This window comes from Homo sapiens, chromosome 11, assembly GCF_000001405.40.
Source record: "Homo sapiens chromosome 11, GRCh38.p14 Primary Assembly".
NCBI lineage: Eukaryota > Metazoa > Chordata > Mammalia > Primates > Hominidae > Homo > Homo sapiens.
The window spans coordinates 121,746,366-121,768,989 of NC_000011.10; the positions used below are offsets into that span (position 1 = coordinate 121,746,366).

Consider the following 22,624-nt stretch of genomic DNA (forward strand, 5'->3'; position numbering starts at 1 on the left):
CAGGTTTTCTACAGGGACAGGCCCACCACTGATAGCCACCAACTTGAGCAATGCCTAATGGAGTTGTGGGAGCAGGACCACTCTGAGACCTCAATCTTGTAGAGCCACCAGCATGCAGTGCCAGCCTGGGAGAGCCACAAGCCCCTGACTCCAACCCCTGAGAGCTTCTGTGTGAGCTGCCTCCTGCAAAGCTGTGGGGGTAGGGCTGCCTGGGCCTTGGGGGCTCACCCCCTACCCCAGTATGTCTTGAAGGCGGGACATGGAGTTAAAGGAGATTATACTCAAGCCTTAAGATTTAATGTTGTTCACCTTGTTGGGTTTTGGAATTACTTGGGAACTGTTACTCCTTTCTTTTTTCCTATTTCTTCCTTTTGGAATGGGGACATATATCGTATACCTGTCTCACCATTGTATTTTGAAAGAATGTAACTTGTTTGATTTCACAGGCTCACAGTTAGAGGGAAATTTGCCTGAAGATAAATTGTATCTTGACTGTGACCCGTATGATGTTTAGAAGAGATTTTGAACTTAGGCTTTAGTGCTGATGTGGAATGAGTTAAGACTTTTTGCAGCTATTGGGATGAAATGAATGTATTTTCTGTGTGAGTAGAACATGAATTTTGGGGGGCTAGGGGTGGAATGCTATGGTTTGAATGCTTTCTTCCCCTCCAAAATGCATGTTAAAACTTAATTTCCACTGGACACAGTGGTATGTGCCTATAATCCCAACTACTCAGGAGGCTGAGGTGGGAGGATCACTTGAGGCCAGTAATTTGAGACCCACCTGGGCAATATGGTGAGACCCTGATATGGTTTGGCTGTGTCCCCACCCAAATCTCATCTTGTATTTTAGCTCCCACAATTCCTATGTGTTGTTGGAGGGACCTAGTGGGAGGTAATTGAATCATGGCGGTCGGTCTTTCCCATGCTGTTCTCATGATAGTAAATAAGTGTCATGAGATCTGATGGTTTTATAAAGAGGAGTTTTCCCGCACAAGCTCTCTCTTGCCTGCCACGATGTAAGACATGCCTTTTGCCTTCTGCCTGATTGTAGGCCTCCCCAGCCACGTGAAACTGTGAGTCCACTTAACCTCTTTTCTTTATAAATTACCCAGTCTCAGGTATGTCTTTATCAGCAGCGTAAAAATGCACTAATACAGATCCCATCTTAAAAAATAAAGAAACAACCAACACTTAATTCCCAGTGCAATAGTATTGGGAGATGTGGCCTTTGGGAGACTTGACTGAGGCATGAGAGCTGCACCCTCATGAATGGGATTCGGTGCCCCTATCAATGGGCTTGACATAGGGAGTTTGCCCCTTTTGGCCTCCCCCCTTCTGTTGTATGAGGACACAGTATTTCTTATATTCATGTGTACATGAATTCATGTACACAGCATTCACTTGTACTCAAGAGGACACAGTATTCAAGTTGCCATCTTGAAAGCAGAGACTGGGCTCTCAGATGCTGCCTTGATCTTGGACCTCTCAGCCTCCAGCACTGTGAGAATAAATGTATGTTCTTTACAAACAAACTAAGACAAAGATTTTATGCCTGGAGTCTTTTAGAAATTCTTCCCCATCTCAGAGTCATAAGTATATTCTTCTATAAGTACTTCCAAAAAGTTTGTTTATACTCATACCTCTTTGCAAATGGGTTTTAATGGATGTGAAATTAGGTAGAAATCCTTTTTTAAAAATTCTCATATGTATAAAAGTTATCCTAGCATCACTTATTGAATAGCCCATCCTTTCTCTACTTATTGGCAATGTTTCCTGTATTATATATGAAGGTTCTTCATATACACAGATCTGTTTTTCAGCTCTACAGCTTGTTGTTTTTTTGATTTGTCCATCCCTTTTGCAATCCCACAGTGTTGTCAGTCCTGAAGTCTTTTAAAGCAAGTCTTTTCCAAGACATTTTTTTTAGTTTTCCTTGGCTGTTCGCTCCTTTATACAATTGTAGAAACTGGCTTCTCAAGTTCCATGAAAAATTCAGTTAAAGTTTTGATTGAAATTTCTTTGATTTATTTAGATTAATTTGGGGAGAATGTACATATTTAAGATATTGAGTGTTCTTATCCATAAACTTGATACCTCTTTCCATTTGTTTAGATCTGTTTAATAATTTCAATTATATTTTATTATTTTCTCCTTAAAGATTTTGTACATTTTCTATGAGATTATTTGGTACTTTATATTGGGTATTGTAAGTACTATTTTTCAAATTACATCTTAACATTTTTGTTTAAATTATAAGGGAATGCAGTTCATTTTTGTGTATTTGTTCTACATCCAACAATCTTATTGAATGCTCTTATTAATTCTATTTTTCTGTAGATTATTTTATTTTATTGTTCACATAGAAAATCATATTCACTGCAAGCACTAACAGTTTTGTTTTTCTTTTCAACCTTCACACCTGCTATTTCTTTGACTTGTTCTAACTGTCATGCATAGGACCTCTATTGGTCTATATGGTCAGAAGTGTCAGTAGCAGAAATTTCTTTATCTTTTTTATAAGGCTTTTAACATTTGATCATTAAAAATTATGTCTGAGGGAAGTTTTTGGTAGAAGTACAAAGTTTCCTTCCATTTTTAGGCTGCTAAGTTTTTTCTTTTTAAATCACAAATGGGTGTTGAATTTTATCAATTTTCAATTTTTTTCCTGTGTTCATGAATCTATGGGTATTATCATATAGCTTTTTTCTTTAATCTGTTAATGTAATGAATTATATTAATCAAATTTCTAATGTTAAGCAATATATGAATTCCTAGTATAAACCCAACGTGATCATAATGTCTTTTTTTCTCATTGCTTGACTTGATTTTCTATTAATAATATTTTATTTAGCACGGCTTTATCTATGCTTAACAGCGAGTTTGGACTATAATTTTTTCCATACTATTGCCTGTTTCAACTTTCTCTCTTTCATTAAACAAACAAACAAAAAAAAACAACAACAAAAAGAGGGAAGAGAGAGAGAGACAGTCTCTCTATGTTGCCTAGGCTGGTCTCAAACTTCTGGGCTCAAATGATCCTTCTGCCTCAGCCTCTCAAGTAGCTAAGACTACAGGTATGAGCCATCATGCCAGACTCAACTTTCAATATAGTGATGTAAGTTTTGTTGGTTATTGAATGTGTTATCCTCTTCAAGATCTCTATTAGGATGCAATTGGTGAAAATGAGGCATAGGCAGAAGACAGTAAAAAGGAAAAGTGGAAGGAACTGAGTGAATATTCAGATTTAGGAAGCAAAAACTTGAAGATGAGTGCTATCACAAACTAAGTGGGGAAAGTGAGGATCAAGAGCTGTTTAAGTAAATATGGCTGGTAAAGAAAAAGTTAAGTTCTATTTAGATATGTGTTTGAGTTGCTGAGATAGCTAGTGGAAGTGTCCAGTAGACAGTTAGGATTTTGATTTAGAAATTAAGTAGTTGTGGCCAGAAATACTTCCACGGGAACCATCTGCTCACAATCAAAACTGTGTAGGTAGATGAGGTAATCATTGGAGATTAGTACATAGGAAAGAGAGTAGAGAATGAAGCCTTGGAAGGTGACCAGAATGAGAGAATGAAGGAGGATGGGAAAGCGAAGTTGTAAAGGAAAAGAGAGACAAAAACAAAGGTTACATTTTTCTGAGCTGGGACTCGAAATAAAAAGTGATAGCAGACAGGGTGTGGTACCACCTCATTTGGTTCACACATGGGAGAAAAGGAGAGCATTGCATTTCTCAAGAGATTTTAGGAGGAAACACTCTGAAAAACACTGCCCTTCAAGGCCCAGAAATATACATCCTATCCCCGGATCATAAACTGTCATATAGATCTATTGTCCATTGGCTTCAAGTTTATTTGCCTTTCTAGTTATTAATCCAATCTCATTAAAAATCAGTTTAAGTGTGACCCTTGAATTTAGACCAAATAAGTAATCAAACATAGGCTGTCTAATTTTCACCCCAAGTATCTATAGGTTAAGACATTTTAACCTTATCCTTTATACAATGGGTAGTATAGTCTATGTTGTATGTTGTCTCTTTTAAAAAAAAATTTTATGAGATGGGGACTCACTATGTTTTTCAGGCTAGTCTTGAACTCCTTGGCTCAAGGGATACTCCTGCCTCAGCCTCCCGAGTTGCTGGGATTATAGGCGTCCATGACACTCAGCTTATATCGTCTTCTTTGACGTCAGTGTATCATTGATGTACATCAATCAGCTAATATAGGCACATAAAATTCCAGAGTTAAGAGAGATAATAAAAAGCGTCTTTTTCATTTCACAGATGATAACACTCAGGACCAGAGGTGCAATGACTAGAGCTCAGATCTCTGGACTTGAAACCTTCATGACCCAGTAGAGTCTTACAAGAATCAACACATGAATTGCACTTGCTTATGACAATACTGTTCCATTATTTAACTAATAATTTGTTCATTTTATTGATAGATGTTTCCTTATTTATGAGCTCTTCATTTATCCATATGGTACTTGCTGTTGCACATATAAAAACACTCTGGTGTTCAATTTTTTCAAGTTGTTATTTTCATGTTTAAAAACACTCTTTGGATAAATTAAGGGCTCAAAATAAGGACAATTTAAATAAACATGCCATTAGTTTGACAACAGAAATGCCAACTGAGGCAGGACCCATTAATTTGTTGATAAGTGATTCACTGGATGTGTCCTACAACATACTCATCAACTATCTTTAACACATCATTTCTGAAGCACAAATCAAATTCTCAGAAAATATATAAACGAACATTTGTACAGCTGATTGTTTTTAGCAAACTGGAATCTCTTGACATTTGTCAATCTTCTATTCAACAAGTATTTAGTGAGTGCCTACTGTGTGCTAGGCCCCAGTGCCTACAGCAGCGGATAAAACACAAAGTTCCTGCCCTCATGGACTATCTATTATAATGGTGGCAAGGCAGACAATAAACATGCAAATCAATAAATGATATGTTTTTCAGATAGTGACAAAAAGCAATGGGATAGAAAGTGACCAGAGGAGAGATCGTTCTATCTTATCCAGTGTGGCCAGTAAGGAGCCCTGTTGCAGGTCAGGTTCTGTGGGAAGTGAATCTGAGATGGAGATTAGCACACAGAAAGTTCATTGTGGAGCTTTTTCAGAATCAACATTCTTGGGGAAGTACAGACAGTTGCCACCTTAAGATGGTTAAACTTTGGTTACTGTAGCCTTGTAGTATAGTTTGAAGTCAGGTAGTGTGATGCCTCCAGCTTTGTTCTTTTGGCTTAGGACTGACTTGGCGATGCGGGCTCTTTTTTGGTTCCATATGAACTTTAAAGTAGTTTTTTCCAATTCTGTGAAGAAAGTCATTGGTAGCTTGATGGGGATGGCATTGAATCTATAAATTACCTTGGGCAGTATGGCCATTTTCATGATATTGATTATTCCTACCCATGAGCATGGAACGTTCTTCCATTTGTTTGTATCCTCTTTTATTTCATTGAGCAGTGGTTTGTAGTTCTCCTTGAAGAGGTCCTTCACGTCCCTTGTAAGTTTGATTCTTAGGTATTTTATTCTGTTTGAAGCAATTGTGAATGGGAGTTCACTCATGATTTGGCTCTCTGTTTGTCTGTTATTGGTGTATAAGAATGCTTGTGATTTTTGGACATTGATTTTGTATCCTGAGACTTTGCTGAAGTTGCTTATCAGCTTAAGGAGATTTTGGGCTGAGACAAGTACAGCATGGTACTGGTACCAAAACAGAGATATAGATCAATGGAACAGAACAGAGCCCTCAGAAATAATGCCGCATATCTACAACTATCTGATCTTTGACAAACCTGAGAAAAACAAGCAATGGGGAAAGGATTCCCTATTTAATAAATGGTGCTGGGAAAACTGGCTAGCCATATGTAGAAAGCTGAAACTGGATCCCTTCCTTACACCTTATACAAAAATTAATTCAAGATGGATTAAAGACTTAAACATTAGACCTAAAACCATAAAAACCCTAGAAGAAAACCTAGGCATTACCATTCAGGACATAGGCATGGGCAAGGACTTCATGTCTAAAACACCAAAAGCAATGGCAACAAAAGCCAAAATTGACAAATGGGATCTAATTAAACTAAAGAGCTTCTGCACAGCAAAAGAAACTACCATCAGAGTGAACAGGCAACCTACAAAATGGGAGAAAATTTTCGCAACCTACTCATGTGACAAAGGGCTAATATCCAGAATCTACAATGAACTCAAACAAATTTACAAGAAAAAAACAAACAACCCCATCAAAAAGTGGGCGAAGGACATGAACAGACACTTCTCAAAAGAAGACATTTATGCAGTCAAAAAACACATGAAAAAATGCTCACCATCACTGGCCATCAGAGAAATGCAAATCAAAACCACAATGAGATACCATCTCACGCCAGTTAGAATGGCAATCATTAAAAAGTCAGGAAACAACAGGTGCTGGAGAGGATGTGGAGAAATAGGAACACTTTTACACTGTTGGTGGGACTGTAAACTAGTTTAACCCTTGTGGAAGTCAGTGTGGCGATTCCTCAGGGATCTAGAACTAGAAATACCATTTGACCCAGCCATCCCATTACTGGGTATATACCCAAAGGACTATAAATCATGCTGCTATAAAGACACATGCACACGTATGTTTATTGTGGCACTATTCACAACAGCAAAGACTTGGAACCAACCCAAATGTCCAACAAAGATAGACTGGATTAAGAAAATGTGGCACATATACACCATGGAATACTATGTAGCCATAAAAAATGATGAGTTCATGTCCTTTGTAGGGACATGGATGAAATTGGAAATCATCATTCTCAGTAAACTATCACAAGAACAAAAAACCAAACACCGCATATTCTCACTCATAGGTGGGAATCGAACAATGAGAACACATGGACACAGGAAGGGGAACATCACACTCTGGGGACTGTTGTGGCGTGGGGGGAGGGGGGAGGGATAGCTTTAGGAGATATACCTAATGCTAAATGATGAGTTAATGGGTGCAGCACACCAGCATGGCACATGTATACATATGTAACTAACCTGCACATTGTGCACATGTACCCTAAAACTTAAAGTATAATAATAATAAAAAAAAGAAAATTACCCATTAAAAAAAAAAGATGGCTAAACTTAACAATTTTTTGACTTTAAGATGGTGTGAAAGTGATATATATTCAGTAGAAACTGCACTACGAGTGCACATGCAACCATTCTGTTTCTCACTTTCAGTGTAGTATTCAATAAATTACATGAGATATTCAACACCTTGTTATAAAATAGGCTTTGTGTTACATGTTTTTGCCCGACCATAGGCTAATGTAAGCGTTCTGAGCATGTTTAAGGTAGGCTGGGCTAAGCTATGATGTTTGGTAGGTTAGGAGTATTAAATGCATTTTTAACTTGATATTTTCAACTTGTGATGAGTTTATCAGGATGTAACCCTGTTATAAGTCTAGGAGCATATGTACAGGAAATAGGATTGGGCAGAAACAGAAGTTGGGCTATTACATAGTCACAGCAAAACCTCAGCCTCCAACACCACAGAAAGCCTTGAAGCTGGGGTAGTCCTACAGTGTATCTTGAGTTGGGGCTGGGGAGTTGGCCTTTAGACCCTCTTATTTGCCACTATTGTATGTGTGCTGCCTTTGGTGGGAAGATTTTGGGCGAGATGGGCAGCTTAGGGCAATCTATGAAGGGGATCCAGCTTCCAACACTCACAGCAGCTAGGCAAATGATGCTTCAGTCCTCATAGGGGGGATCTGTGTGACCCACCACAGCATGCACTATAGCCTCTCTGAACAGGCGGTATTTGAGCTGAGACCTGGATGATGTCATCTCGCTTAATCCTGGGGTTGATATTGTCATATCCCCATTTTGTACCCCTGTTCATCTCTCAGAAGCTCAGAGAGGTGAAGTGACTTGCCCTAGGTCACACAGCTACCAGGAAGCAACACTTTGTGTCTCCTAGCCCAGAGCTTCATCTATGATGATCTGCCTATATCTTGTTTCATTTATGCTTGTACTTGTGAAAACACCAAGGGCACATATTTCTATAAACACTTTTATAAAACACTTGGGTATATTACCAGTAGAATATAGGATAAGCCTCTCTGATTTTTCTGATTTCACTGATTTCTCTGACAGGGCAAAGGCCATATGGCCATGTTTGCATCTTTGTTCAGATAAGTGATTAGATATCTCTGTACAAAATAGAGCTTTAGAATGGAAAAAGTTTTCAAATAATAGGCTGACAACTTAGTTAAAAGAAAAACAAGTGAAACAAATATCACTAGATGTTATTTGTTCCAAAAGTCAAAAGGCTAACCACAGCCATGCCAAACATCTGCAAATATTTTCAGCTTTTTAATCCCTAATCTTTCTCTGATTTGAGGTATGAGTGGAGAGTACTACTGGTACTCTCGTGATTCTTACAGTCACTTGATCAAAGCTTGTTTCTTGCCTGGCTTCCAACCTTTGACCCATTTGGCCTGTCTCCTGTCTAGGAGGGGCTTTGGGCTTTGGTAGGATAATGTTTTACATCTCATGATCCTGTGTAATTTGTAAACTGCTTTTACATAAGTTATTTCATTCGATTGTTGCAAAAACACTGGGAAGCATGGATCTGTATTTCCTTTTCATTGATAAGGGAACCAAAGCCCTGAGAAGTCACATGACTCAGGTACATCCCTTGAACTCAAGACTTTCAGTTATAAGACCATATATTCTTTCCATTACCTCTCCACTGATAGAGCTCTGAGCTAGAATTCTTGGAAGTGAGAGCAAGGAATGCATGAGAATAAAAAAGACATAGGAGTGAGAAAGAGTGGGCAGATTATTATTGAGGCAGGTCACAAAACTTCGTTAGGCCTGGGTTTCCTCATTGAAGTGACAACTGGACAAGGTAGCTGTCTAGGACTCTCCTTAGCTTTAAGCTTCTCTAGTCTTAAGGAAACAGCAAAGAAAAAAAAAAGAAAAAGACAAATCAAAACAATGAGACAGCTGCAACAACAACAAAGAACAGCTATGCTATCCCAGGTCTCTAGCCATCACAACTATAGCATGACTCTTTCCTTTGAATTTTCACTAGCAGCTGGAATGCCTCCATTTTGAACACTCCACTGCTCAGGTAGCTGCTGATTTCCTGGCTACTAATACCACTGTTTCACACATAATGGCGAACAGACTGAAGAGATCAAATTAAATCCATTTCCACTTTAGGATGGGAAATCTGTTTGGAACAATCAAGCAGGTTTGGGGCAGCAAGCATGGGTTTTCAATTGCCATCAAATGGGAAATTGCTTCATGTCAATTGGCATTAAGTGGACCGATTTGTGCCCAATTAATATACCGTGGTTGGAAAGAAAGAAAACAATTTCATTTAGCTAGATTGCTCTTCTCTGGGTTCTTCCTGCGTGGATCTCCAAGCAGTCTGCAGACATTCCCTCTTATTCAACCAATCCCCTCCCCCATTGTGAGCCACATCCTCCCTTGTTGAGAATGACAAGTTGGGAGCAGCTCACTTTAGCTTTTTTCATGCCTCAGAATCCCATTTAGTGAATGGCTACTGCAGGGTCCCAAATGAAACACATTAGTGGCGTACAAGAGTTAATACAGCTTTCAGTAGCATTTTATCCCCAACTAGAGCTCAGCTCTGGCCTTGGATAAAGCTAGCTTACTCCTAGCCATTAGACTGAAATATTGGGCCAAGACACTCCCAGAATTTTCCTGGAAGATGCCTGCTGGAGAATCCAAGGGATCAAAATAGTGCTGGGATGACAAGTCAGATGTGTGAAGACCTCAGTGACTCTGTAAAATCTGGAAGCCCCCCTGACAATGACAAACAACCACCGAGGAAACACAGGTCACCCAATCACTGCCAGCTGAAGCGCTGGCACAGAAACCCAGCTAAATCCATGCTCCAGAGACTCCCCAAATGAAAGAACACTGTGTGAGCCCATGCTGGCCAATGGGAGCTGGATGAGGAAAGATAGTAGCCTCGTTTTCACATCCATAGATTTTATGCTCCCTTTGGTTGGTAATTTACATTTATATAGACTCTTTCAAACTCTGGGTTCTAAAATGGCTTTGCTGGTTTATATGTATAGGGCACTGCTTTGTATAAGCAGTTGGCTCTGTATACATAAACAAAACCTGACCATCTGTATTTAAATGAAAGCATGTGGTTCAGATTTTACTTGGTCATTTTAAGCCATACCATACTTGAATGAATCTCCCTAAGTTTTTTAAGGGCACATAAATGAGGTATATAGTGCTACCTGGTGAACCCTTTAATCTGACTCCATTTTGATGCAAGGTGGCTCTGGAGCTGCGTATCCTCCATGATTTATGTATGAACGTGGATAGATGGAATGTGAGTGATAGGAATATAGGCGATGACTCTTTCTCTCCTTCAATCTAAATCTAAAATGTATCTTCCACATCTTTCCATGCACGTGTCCCAGTAAATACCTGAGGAGAAAAAGAATGAACATGAAGATCATTTTGTAAATTGTCAAGCTCCATAAACATGCTAATGTCTATTGTTATTACTGTAAAGAGAGGCAGCTTCTCGTCGTAGAAAGAATTCTGCATCTAGAGTCCAAAGGCCTGGGTTTGAGCCAAGACACTGCAAGTTAGGAGCAGTGAGGTCCTAGTCATGTCGCTAAACTGCAGTTTCCCAATCTAAAATGGAGCTATACCAATTCTGTTTGCTTCAGGCAGCCACTAAAGAGGGATGGGGCATCTGTCTGGGGCATCTGTCATTGGTGACTGCCAGGGTCAATTTGGCTGCTCTGGTTGGCTAAGCTGAGGTGCCTGTCTCTCTCTCAGTTGGAGAGAATGGCCTTTCCAAATAGAGAAGGACTATTTATGAGAATAGGTGGAGGACCTTTGAATAGGATCATTGTGAAGATAGAACATGACAGAATGTACAAAAGAGCCTTGTACCTCAAGAAGGATGTATACAGGTATACAGGGACCCACGAAGGAACTTGCTAGGCTTTGTTCTGTAGAGTACAGTTCTCAGGACTGCCTGGAATTGCTGCTGGTTGGGTCTAGCTGCTGAACCTAAGATGTTGTCTTTCTACAACTTGGAGGATTCCTGGAAATGTGGACTGCTGCTTATCACAGCCTACTTTCTGTCTTTGTGTTACTTATTTGTACCTGTGCTGTGCTATGCCTTAGACCAGACTTTCTCAATCTTGGCACTACTGCCATTTTAGATGGGATAACTGTTTGTGGTTGGAGGCAGTCTTGTGCACTGTAAGATGTTTATCAGCAGCCCTGGCCTCTACCCACTAGATAGCAGTAGCACTCTCCCTTAGCAGTCACAATTAAAAATGTCCACAGACATTGCTAAATGTCCCCCAGGGGGGTAAAATCACCCCCTTACCCTTGGTTGAGAACGGACTAACTTAGACTATGAGCTCCATGGAAACAAGTCATATTTTCTTTTAAGTTGTATCCTTGCACCAACTTAGCAGAGTATGCAGCGCTAGTAGGCGCTCGATAACAAGTGGCTGGAGGAAATTGAACTAAAAAGCCAAGTTTCACTTTGGTATGAGTCACCCCCTGCCAGCTTTTGAGCTTAAGTTAAAGAGGCCAAATTGAAAAGCCAACGAAGCAGGTTGTACCTGTTAAGTAGGCCCCAGGCTCAAAGGGGAAACATTTATCAGCAAAGAATATATGTTCTCAGCATCACTTGACGCAGATTTAAAAGAGGCAATCAAAGAGCTCCTAGATTGCTGCAGGATGCCCAAGCACTCTGGAATTGAGGGAGCTGGGGGTGCCTTTGCTCCTGTCTGTCCCTGGTCACGGCCCTCCCTTTTTCTCCCTTCTCCTTAGACAGAAGTTTGCTCACAATATGGTTTTTCAATTGGTTTTCAGTTCTTGACCTTTTCCCATCTCAGGTTTCTTGCAGGTTTCCCGACAGACCTACAAGGGTTGTCATTCTGCTGGTGGCAAGAGACTCCAAATGTGTCTTCAGACTCAAGCAGGAGAGAAGGAAAGTGTCAGATGGTATTTAGTCATTTTGGTGGATAAGGGACGATTGACTTGAGGCCTTAGAGGGCAGCTGGATCTTCCATGCTTCTAGTATGTGAAAGGAGTAGTTTTCAAAGTTTCCAGAACATAGGCACATCCTCTGAATGTGTCTGGCCAGCCTTGATTCATCCTCTCACCCTGTAAGTAAAAATGATGCTCTCAGAAGGCAGTGAGTTTCCTCCAGGTGGTTCTTTAGCTAGAGCAGAGAAGTGTTTGCTTTTTCAAACGATCATGGCTTTCTCAGCTCTCCTTCACAGCAAAATGCCTTGAAAGAGTGATTGATATTAGTTGCTCCAATTCCTTCTGTCTCACTTTCTCTTGAACCCATCATAGTCAGAATTTCACCCCCCTTACTTGACAGAAAATTGCTCTTGTCAAGGTGACCATGACCTGCCAGCTGCTAAATGCATGGTCAATTTGCATTCCCCTCTCATCTGATCTATCAGCAGCATTTAACCCAAGTGATCATCTGTCTTCTTTGAAACACTTTCTGTACTTGGCTCTTAGGATACTGTACCCCCTGGTTCTCCCTCTCCCTCCCAAGACCATTCCTTTTCTGTGATCTTTGCTGGTCCTACCTTATTTCCTCCCATTACTCCAGGGCTCCATTCTCTAAGTCTCTCCTCATCTTTCCTCTTTTCTATGCATTTGTCTCATGGCTTTAAATATTTACTATTTGTTGGCAACTCATATATTTATTTACCCCGCCTGAACGTCTTTCCTGAACTCCAATATCCTATGTCTAATTGCCTTCTTAACATCGCTACTTGGGTGATGAATAGGATCCCAAACTTGACATAGCCAAAACTGAACTCCTGAGCTCCTTCATCCCAAACCTACTTCCACCTTCTACTCAATCTCAGTAAACGGTGACTCTTTTCTTCCAGGTGCCCAGGCTAAGAACCTTAGAGATCTTTCTCTCACAATCCATATCTAATAATTCAGCAAAGCTGGTAGCTCTACCTTCAAATTTATACCCAGGGCCCAATCACTTCTTACCACCCTCACCACTCACCACCTTAGTTCATGTCACCGGCATCCTGGATTATTGTGGTAGTTTCCCAGTTGGCTTCAGTGCCTCTATCTTCGTCCATTGCTCTGGCTGTCTCCTCATCTGTTTTCAATATAGCAGCTAGAGTGATACTTTTAAAACATAGGCCAGATCTTGTCACACTTCAAGTGTGATACTTTATGCTCCAAAGATACCCATCCCACTCAGAGTAAAATCCTAAGGTCTTCACATATTCGACAGTTCCTAAATCTGGGCCACTGCGATTGCTCTGACCTTATCTCCTGCCACCCATCCCAACCCCCATCCCTGATCATTCCCCTCTTGCTACATTGTTGTCCTTTCTTCAGACACACCAAGCATTCTCCTATCACAGAGCCTTTGCATATGCTTTTCCTTTTGCCTGGAAAGCTTTTTCCTCATATATATTTTCATGGGTCACTTACCTTTTTTCAAGTCAAGTAGTTATTTGCAAGCAAAAGCATTCCCTGACCATCCTATCTAAAATGCTTATGTAACCATCACTACCCTGATCTCTTTATATCGCTTGACAATATAATCTCCATGAGTTTAAGAATCTTGTCCTTTTCCACTGGGGTACCCCTAAAACTTTAACAGACCCTCAGCCCATAGTTGGTGCTCAATAATATTTGTTGAATAAATGGATGAATCTATTCCTCCAGATGCAAAGATTCAACATGACAAAGCAGCTACTGTCAACAAACTCCTTAAAGATTACAGGATAGTGATACTTCTTTATTAAAGTAAACCATCCAAGCTTCAAAATGAGATTGCACATGCTGTTATTTCTGTTTCCGATGTAAAATATGATTTTTTTTTTTCTGTTGAAGATGAGGGATTTAAGTTTGGTGAACATTTCCAACCTAGGATTCTGCTAACGTGCTAATGTGCCAAGATGTCTTTTTATTATGATCAGCTAGATTCGACAAATATCGATGACTTCCCACTATATGCTGGGCTCTGCTTAGAAACGGAAATGCAGATTGCTTAGATCTGATTCTGCCCTCAGGATGCTTGAAGGCATTTAGGGATAAGAAATACAGACCTGATCTATGCTTTCAAAATTTAAAAATGTTGATAAATGGAAAAATGTGTCTATTCCTATCAAGAGAGTTTAGCCCAATGAGAACATTAATATCCTCAGGCAGATTATGTGTCAAACGTCCTCTAAAGGAAAGTGCCAGGGCAAGATAGGTTCATGTGTTTCCAAAGAGTGCAACATTAATAAACACCCTAAGAGAGGTGAAAACAAAGTGCTGTGTAAGCTCTGAAATGGGAAAAATCATGTCTTGGGGTGGGAGGTATGATGGATGGCTTTGTGAAAGAGACTATAGCTGACCTTGGCAGGTAGAGAAATAGGCAGTGACAGCAAGGAGGGCTTTCACGCAGAGAGAAGACCCTCATGAGCACAGGTGCATATGGGGAGACTCCAAGTCTTTTTTTTTTTTTTTTTTTTTTTTTTAGAAATGGTTGCAGCCAAGAGTGGGCAGAGCATGGGGCAGGAACAAGGCAGATGCTGGAAATAGGAATCGGGGGTAAAGCCAGCTTGTGTTTGGTAGTATTATTTGTTTTTTACTGTGGTTGTTTTCCAAAAATAACAGGATTGATAAACAGGGGCCCTGTTGTTTTGCAACACGTACCAAAAATGATATTGCCAATCTCATAATTCTTACTTGCTATGCAATGCCCATACAAAGGATTTTGGAATCCTCAAAGAGGATTAATTTATTTATAGCAACTTTTTGGTGTATTTCCATGTTTCTTTCAATCTTTGAAAATTGGTCATCCATGCAGCATCTACAAAGACTGTTTAGTAGCCACCTACCAGAACAAACTATAGTGCTCCTCTGATGGATAACAGAGTTTACTGTAAGTGCCTTTTCCTGATCATGATGGAATTTCCCCCGTTCTTTGCCTTTTCCCATAAAGCCCACATCTGCTGACCTCCAGGGTTTGATAAGCTCTCTGTCTCTCTCATTAGCTCAAGCAGCTCAAGCTCTGTCTGAACAGGATTCCAGTAAAAATGGTTACAGACTGAATAACGGTCTGTCTTTCCAACTAGCATGGGACTCAAATACTTAAAGGAACACAGCATTTTGGTAGTCAGACACAGTACATATACAGAGAACTATCATAAAACACTATAGCTCCAAACACAGACCATTATGACAAAATCAGGGACCTGCTCTCCTGAAAAAAAGATAACAGCTAACGTTTACCTGTATCTACAGTCCATTTTAATGTAATTTTATTATGACATGGATCACAAAACAAAAGTCGTTGAAGTCACAGACTCAAAGCATTTCAGAGCTGGGAGGCATTAGGGGTTATTTGTTTCAATTGTCCTGGTTTATAAATGAGGAAACTGAGGTCAGAAGAGATTACAGCTCAACAAAGGTCAGTTAAAGGCAGAACTTGAACACACCTGGGACTGCAATTCTTTCCACATGGGAAGGTAATCATCTTTCAGTGGCCTGCTGTGGGAAAATTTCTTTATTGGCTAGGCTTTGGCTCTCATGTTCTTTAAAGCTCTCTGGACCTCTCGTCCTTACTTTTGTAATACATCTTCACTGTCTTAGGAGGCCTGCGCATGAGATAGATGCTTTAACACCAGCTCAGGCTCCCAGGCTGCAGGGGAGCTCTGTGGGTGCAGGGAGGTTTTCTGTCTGTATTTTGGACTTTTGCATCATGCCTAGTGCCTTGTGGGAGCTCAACAACTCTTAGTTCTGTTCCTTTCTATTGCAGAATGTACTTGTTCAGTTGAATTGTGGTTGAGATAGAGGGTGGATATTTGATGGAGGGAGGTTGCAAGTGATCATGTCATCTACCAAGTATGAGAGAGTTGGAGAAAAAAGAAAAATCAGGAGGGGATGGGAGGCTAAAATGAAAAGACAAAGGGTGGGGGAAAAGTCGGAAAAAGACGACAATTGAAAGCACAAATCTAATTCCTGTTCAAATGCAAACAGGAGTCCAGAATGTGTCACATGTGTTCAGCCTGTGCAAGTGATTATGTAAATTAATTAAAAAGAAGGAGGGGAGGGGAACAGGGGTCCAAAAGGAAGTGCTCCCAAAGATTCCTGAGAATCCCATCCTTCCCCATCAGTGTTTGGAGAAGGATATGGATTCCATTTGTGCTGGCACTGTAAAAAAGAGGACGCCTTAGCCCTTAGTAGTCACAGGGAGGCAGCTCTCGCTGCAAAACCAGATGGGGTCTCATCACCCACACTATGCAGGTGGGGTCAACTTCCATGATATTAGCCCAGCAAACATCCAGGGGACTCAGCTCACTGCTGTTCTTTCATTTTCCTGTGGAAACCTTTCAAAAGTACTAATTCCGTGGTCAACCAAGCCAGAGCCTCAGGGAAGCCCAGATGCCCCACCTGCCTCTTGAGGGGCCCAGGCTGCTCGAACAGGCAGCAGTACCACTTCCCTTCCTCAGCTGCTGCACTGGAGGGAGTCGGAGAGCAGATCATCTTGGATACAAGCTGGTGGGGCTGCGGTGGCAGTCTCTGTTCAGGCTTTGTCGCTGCTTCCCAAGCAAGCCCCGTGGAACCTGGACAAGTTGGGGCTGGGGCCCAGACTCCAGGGATGCTTGAGGGTTGCACCCGTCAGAATCCCTGGCGCCAGGCCAGGCCAGGGCGGCCTGCTCCGTGAAGGAAATATTGAACATTCTGAGTCTTAAAGAGCAAACCTGGAACGGTTCCAAGATTACACTTAATACATCTGCTGGGAGCCACAGAGAAGGGAGACCGGGGGAATCTGCAAAAATAACACTTGCAGGGCCAGGAGAGCACACAGCATCAGCATGGCACAGGTTGTAAAAGTAACATCGTCCCTTACCTCTGGTAGCACTTATAGTTTCTGAAGCTCATTCATACACATGATCTTTTTGTTATTCTTTATGATTCTGAGAGGTAGGCAGGGAATATTGTTTTACGTAAGTTGCAGATTATGCATCTCTGTGCCTCATACAACACTTAACCTTGCAGGCTGTACAGTGAATAGTGAGTAAGTATGTGAGTGGATAAATGGACAAACTTCCACTTTACAGGGGAAGAAACTGACACAGAATTGTTGAATTCATTGAAAAGCACTCAACACCCTTGTGGGCACTCATGACATGCTAGGCACCATGCTAGGAAGACATGGTCCCCTCACTTTAGGTACTCATAGTCTAGGGAGTGAGAGGGTCAGAAACAAGTAACTAATAAGTAATTATGCAACTGGACACATGATCCATTTGAGGTGATTACGAGGGCTGTAGAAGACAGAAAGAGACAGACCGACTGCGGCAAGAGGATGTGAAAGTGACTTGTTCAATGGACTACAAAGTAGCATGAAAACTACTCTCCAGGTGTTCAGGCTCATGCTTTCTTTGTTTTACCTTTAGCTTGGCCAGGACAAGTCTCCTGTTTCTCTAGCCCCCACCCTCAGACTACCCTTGAATTGTTGCTATTTCATTCCTGAAGTTCTCCCTTTATCAGGAATTTATCTTTCAGCTTAGGGCTATATTAGCTTGTCTAAATTAAAATGTTCCATAGGAAGGATATTTATGTGAATCAGGGATAAGGAGATAAGCTTTCCTGGGGGTGGAGAGGGAATACACAAATGAGAGGCTTGAAGACTCTGGGCTCCCTAGGGGTTGGTGTGGGTGACTAGAGAGAGAGGAAATAAGAAGAAATAGAACAGGTGACTGGGGACTGTTAAAGGAAGCATCACCTTCACAATTTTGCTTTTTTTCCTCTAGAACATCCCTACATCAAATAAATATACCATGCATATGTACATACATACATGTGTGTACATATATACATGTATGTACATATATACATATGTATACATATAAACATACATACATGCATGCACTCTCATACACACACACACACACACACCAACATAGTCTTTAAACCTGTCACAAAAATGGGATATAAAGTTTTTACCAGCGCTTCTTACATGGAATAATTCTGTAGTGATATTTGCCTGATATTTGTGAGCATGAGGTTTCATATAGCTTAATAGCTGTAAGTTTCAAATTTTATTAAACTTCTGCCTTGTTCACAGTCTGATTTCTTTAAGGCCTTATCTAGTTGCCTTGAGCCGCAGGGGTTATTACCTTGGACATGTGCAAAGATATAAATTTCACCACATTAATTGAGGAGAAGTAATAAACTAATGTATAAAAATAGCAAAGAATTTTGATAATTTGTGTTCTCATGGAAGAAGAATAGCTCATAAAAATAATTATTACATGGTACATGTTTGCATTATTTACAAGGCACATGCATGCACTCCTATATACAAATGCTGTTGGGCATTTGGCTATAATCACCAGAAAGCTGGGTATTTCCAAATATCTACATGTGTGCTGACATCTAGTCCAAACTTCTGGGTTTTTGATTGACAAATGTGACTTTCAGCAGACCACTGAGGTTCAGGAGCCCACAATCTAGGTGTGACAGTCACCTCTTCTGGGAAGATTTCTGTGATTCTTCTGTCTGATTCATGGGCCCCTCTTTCAGGTCTCCTGAGTGCCGTACATGGGAATTGACTTGTCCGTCTCCTCCCCTGGGATGGGAGCATCTTCAGGGAAGTCATGGGCTCTTTTTTTTGCCTCTAGATATTTCCTGAATGAATGAATGAATGAATGAAGTGCCTAACATGCCTTCCTACACCCATGACCCTAGTGTGGTGCCTTGCACAGAGGAAAAAACACAATAAATATTGAATGAACATCTATGTTTGTGAGTAAAGAGATTCAGATCAGCTGTGTCACATTACATAGTCATTTTATTCAAATGTCTCAAAGCCTAAAATGTCATTTTTAAACTGCTTCTTCCAGCCCTAGGGAGAAAGTAGATACAAATCATGAAGACCGCTTGAGGCACCCAGAGAAGGGATATGCATTCCCCGGGTTCACTTGAGGAGTGAGGCGTTTGGACATCCCTCCCACCCCCACTTCTGTCCCCTCCTGCAAGTGTGTCCCCCTCTGCCTTTCTCTTCACATTATAAGTCGCCTGAGTATTTATATATTCTGGGGTCTCTCTATGTAAATCCACATTCCATAGATCCCAAAGCTTTTCTTCTGTTTCAGATCAAGAGGCTGAACAAGATATATGTTTTCTTTTCCTTTTGTAACCAGCAAATGGCTTTTTTATCGATCTACCCCTTCTAACATAAGGTTTGTCTTCATGTAGAGTTCGGAAGCCTGTTCTCTCTCTCTCTCTCTCTCTCTCTCTCTCTCTCTCTCTCTCTCTCTCCCTCTCTCTCTCTCCCTCTCTCCCCCTCTCTCTCTCTCTCTCTCTCTCTCTCTCTCTCTCTCTCTCTCGTAACCCCTTCCTTAAGTTCAGAGAGACTGTTTACTCGCCTCCACCTCTCTCTTCCCACAGTTTTATCTCATCTTAGCTCTGTTCATAAACCATCAGTTTCTCCAGTGTCTTGTGTTTCCTGCCTGCTGTGGCTGGAATTTTATGGGACTAATCAGGTTTTGCTTTCTTCACACCCCGTCTCTTCACCATCCATGCGGCCCTCTTGACTCTTATCCCCCTACCCTCACCTTCATGGTGCGTGGGCCTATTAAATGGTGTCCAGTCCAATTTCTGGCACCCAATAAATCTAAATTTTCAAGCTTGGGAAGCCGGGCTCACCCACTGGCACCCAGATAAATGAGTCCTCCGTGAGAAACCCACACTGGTCATTACTCAAGACTCTCCTAAAACCTCGACACAGGCTTCCTGCCTGAGAGACTCAAAGTGCCCCTTGACTCCCTTACCTTCTGGAAAAGAAAATGTTCCCCCACCCCATCACAGGGACTGAAGTCATCTCCAGCTCTCCCCGCTCCAGACCGATGCTCAAAGCGGCTGGAGCCCCCGACTCTTGGCCCCCAGCCGGCCCCCACGTCATTGCCCACTGCAACGTCTTTGAAATGAGACTTAATATCCAGCACACGCGCGTGCACTGTTCAGCTCGCAGGGGCTCCGAGCATGGAGCTGAACAAAGAACCTCCGTGCAGAGGTTTCATTGTTCGCAAAAAGCACTACCAATGAGGGCTTTTCTCCCAGTGGTGAATCTCTCGCCCTTTTGGCGGAGGGTACTGTTTCAACACCCTAAATCTAGCTCTTCCATCTGATTGACAGCAGCCCTAAAATTGTCCAGGTGTGAGGAAGAGGATTGTCGGGGTTGAGGGCCTTTGAGATCAGGTTAGCTTTCTAGAAAACTGGTGGGTAGGAGGGTCCAAGAGCCAGGACTCCTGGGAGGAAACCGGGGTCAGGGTCTGTGTTTCATTCAGAGAGGGGAGACCTGGAGAGCATGATATGCTCTTGGGAAGTTGGAGACTATTTGTATTTACTTATTTGTTATTTTGACTTGTGAAATTATCCCCTTTCACTCTGTCAGGCTTCTGAGTCTGCACAATAAAAATTAATTACAATGAATTAGAACCTTTATAAACCACCCTTAATAGAACAGCGGCTCAGAGACAGCCCCTCCTCTGGCTTCTCGGCGGTCTACAGTTTAAAATTCGATCAGGAAATAATACTTCAAGAAGACAAATGTCTCTAAAATAAAGTATCTGTTTTTGGCTTTTATGGAATAAATCCTGGAAGTAATAGGATGCTGTGATGGTTAGCTTTCTGTGTCGATTTAGCTAGGCTATAGTATCCCATCATTTAATCAAGCACTAATCCACATGTAGCTTCGATGGTATTTTGTAAACGTGGTTAACAGCTACAGCTGGTTGATTTTAAGTAGATTACGTTGGATAGTGCAAATGGGTCTTATCCAATCAGTTAAAGGTCTTAAGAGCAAAAACTGAGGTTTCCTAGAGAAGAAAAGATTCTGCCTCAAAACTGCAGCATCAATGCCTGCCTGAGTTTCCTGAACTGGCTGGCCTGTGCTACACATTTCAGACTTGTGTCTGGCCCCTGCAATCCTATGAGGCAATTTCTTGAAATAAATCTCTTTAAATAAATAAATGAAAGTTTCTATCTCTATTCTACATTTCTATATCTATGTATTATTGATTCTGTTTCTCTGGAGAAGACTGAATAATGAAGGTATTTCAAAATCTTATGCTGAATTGAAATTGTTCATTGTGTAAGTACCTTCAGGGCAGGATGACAGTTCCTCTTTCTTTTCTGAGCATGAGGCATTATGCTGCACACAGGGTAGGAATTTATGAAGCGCTTACTGAAGTCACCGGAAACCCCAAGAAGCCCCATCATGCTTTTTTCAGCTTCTGCTCCTGCACTTTCAGTTCAAGTGGAAACATTTGCTCCTTCTCATTCACACAAGACTAATCAGCCTGACTTGGGAGTCCAGCTCTTCTCATGACCTTCCCATAACCTTGTGAAGTACTGATGCTCCCATCCGTCTCTACCTTTAAAAGCTGTGAGCCGAACCACACCTTCCCCAAAGGCCTCACTGCAGAGAGCCCAGGCGCATCACTTGGTCTTGCCTCCTAGCACTTGTACCTGAGAGCCTTTAGGTTTACCTCCGTTGTTCTGTTCTGGCCTGGCATTGTGAGATGATGTCCTCCCTTTCTCATTAGCGGGTGGTCCCTCTGGGGGAATTCCAGGCTCTGATGTTGTGGAACATGTATGGCCTTTGGAATTAGCCAGACCCAGTTTGAGCCCCAGTTTTCATACAAACATTGAGAACCTGATGAAGTCATGTACATTTTCTGAGGCTCAGTTTTCTTATTAGTAAAATGGCAGTAAAGTGACTCATAAGGACATGTGAGGAATAAATAAAGCAAATAGAGAGTTATCATTTATTATTTTAAAATTAGCAACAAAACATATATTTCTCTGTGTTAGTCCGGGTTCTCTAGAGGAACCGAACCAATAGGATAGATGTATATTTGAAGGGGAGTTTATTAAGCAGTACTGACGCACACAATCACAAGGCGAAGTCCCATAATAGGCAGTCTGCAAGCTGAGGAGCAAAGAAGCCAGTCCGAGTCCCAAAATCTCAAAAGTAGGGAAGCCAACAGTGCAGCCTTCAGTCTGTGGCGGAAGGTCCGAGAGCCCCTGGCAAATCACTGGTGTAAGTCCAAGAGTGCAAAAGCTGAAGAACTTGGAGTCTGATGTTCGAGGGCAAGAAGCAACCAGCACAGGAGAAAGATGGAAGGCAGAAGACTCAGCAAGTCTAGTCCTGCTTTATCCTAGCCACACTGGCAGCTGATTAGATGATGTCCACCCAGATTGAAGGTGGGTCTGCTTCTCTCAGCCCACTGACTCAAATGTTAATCTCCTTTGGCAACCCCCTCACAGACACACCTAGGAACAATCCTTTGCATCCTTCAATCCAATCAAGTTGACACTCAATATTTACCATCACATTCCCCTAATGAAGTTTTCTGTGGAATGTGAAATATAAAGCAGGTAAGATAAGCGCTACTCTGGTTGGTTCTAAGGAAAGCTTCTTACTTGTGCACTGGGACTCCCATTCTCTGTCCTTTTCAAGGGCATGCCTTCAGCAATGCTGTCTCTGTCTATTATATTACATGTAACACTGCTCTACTGGATCATCCCTGCCAGCCTGAGAAC

At 41.4% G+C, this 22,624-nt stretch overlaps 1 annotated feature.

Moving 5' to 3' along the window:
* Positions 21,437-21,486: an enhancer, noted in NCBI's record as "active region_5664". NCBI's record gives its function as "activates an Ori minimal core promoter by ATAC-STARR-seq in GM12878 lymphoblastoid cells {active_cell/tissue: GM12878}" and the evidence as "EXISTENCE:reporter gene assay evidence [ECO:0000049][PMID:35858748]".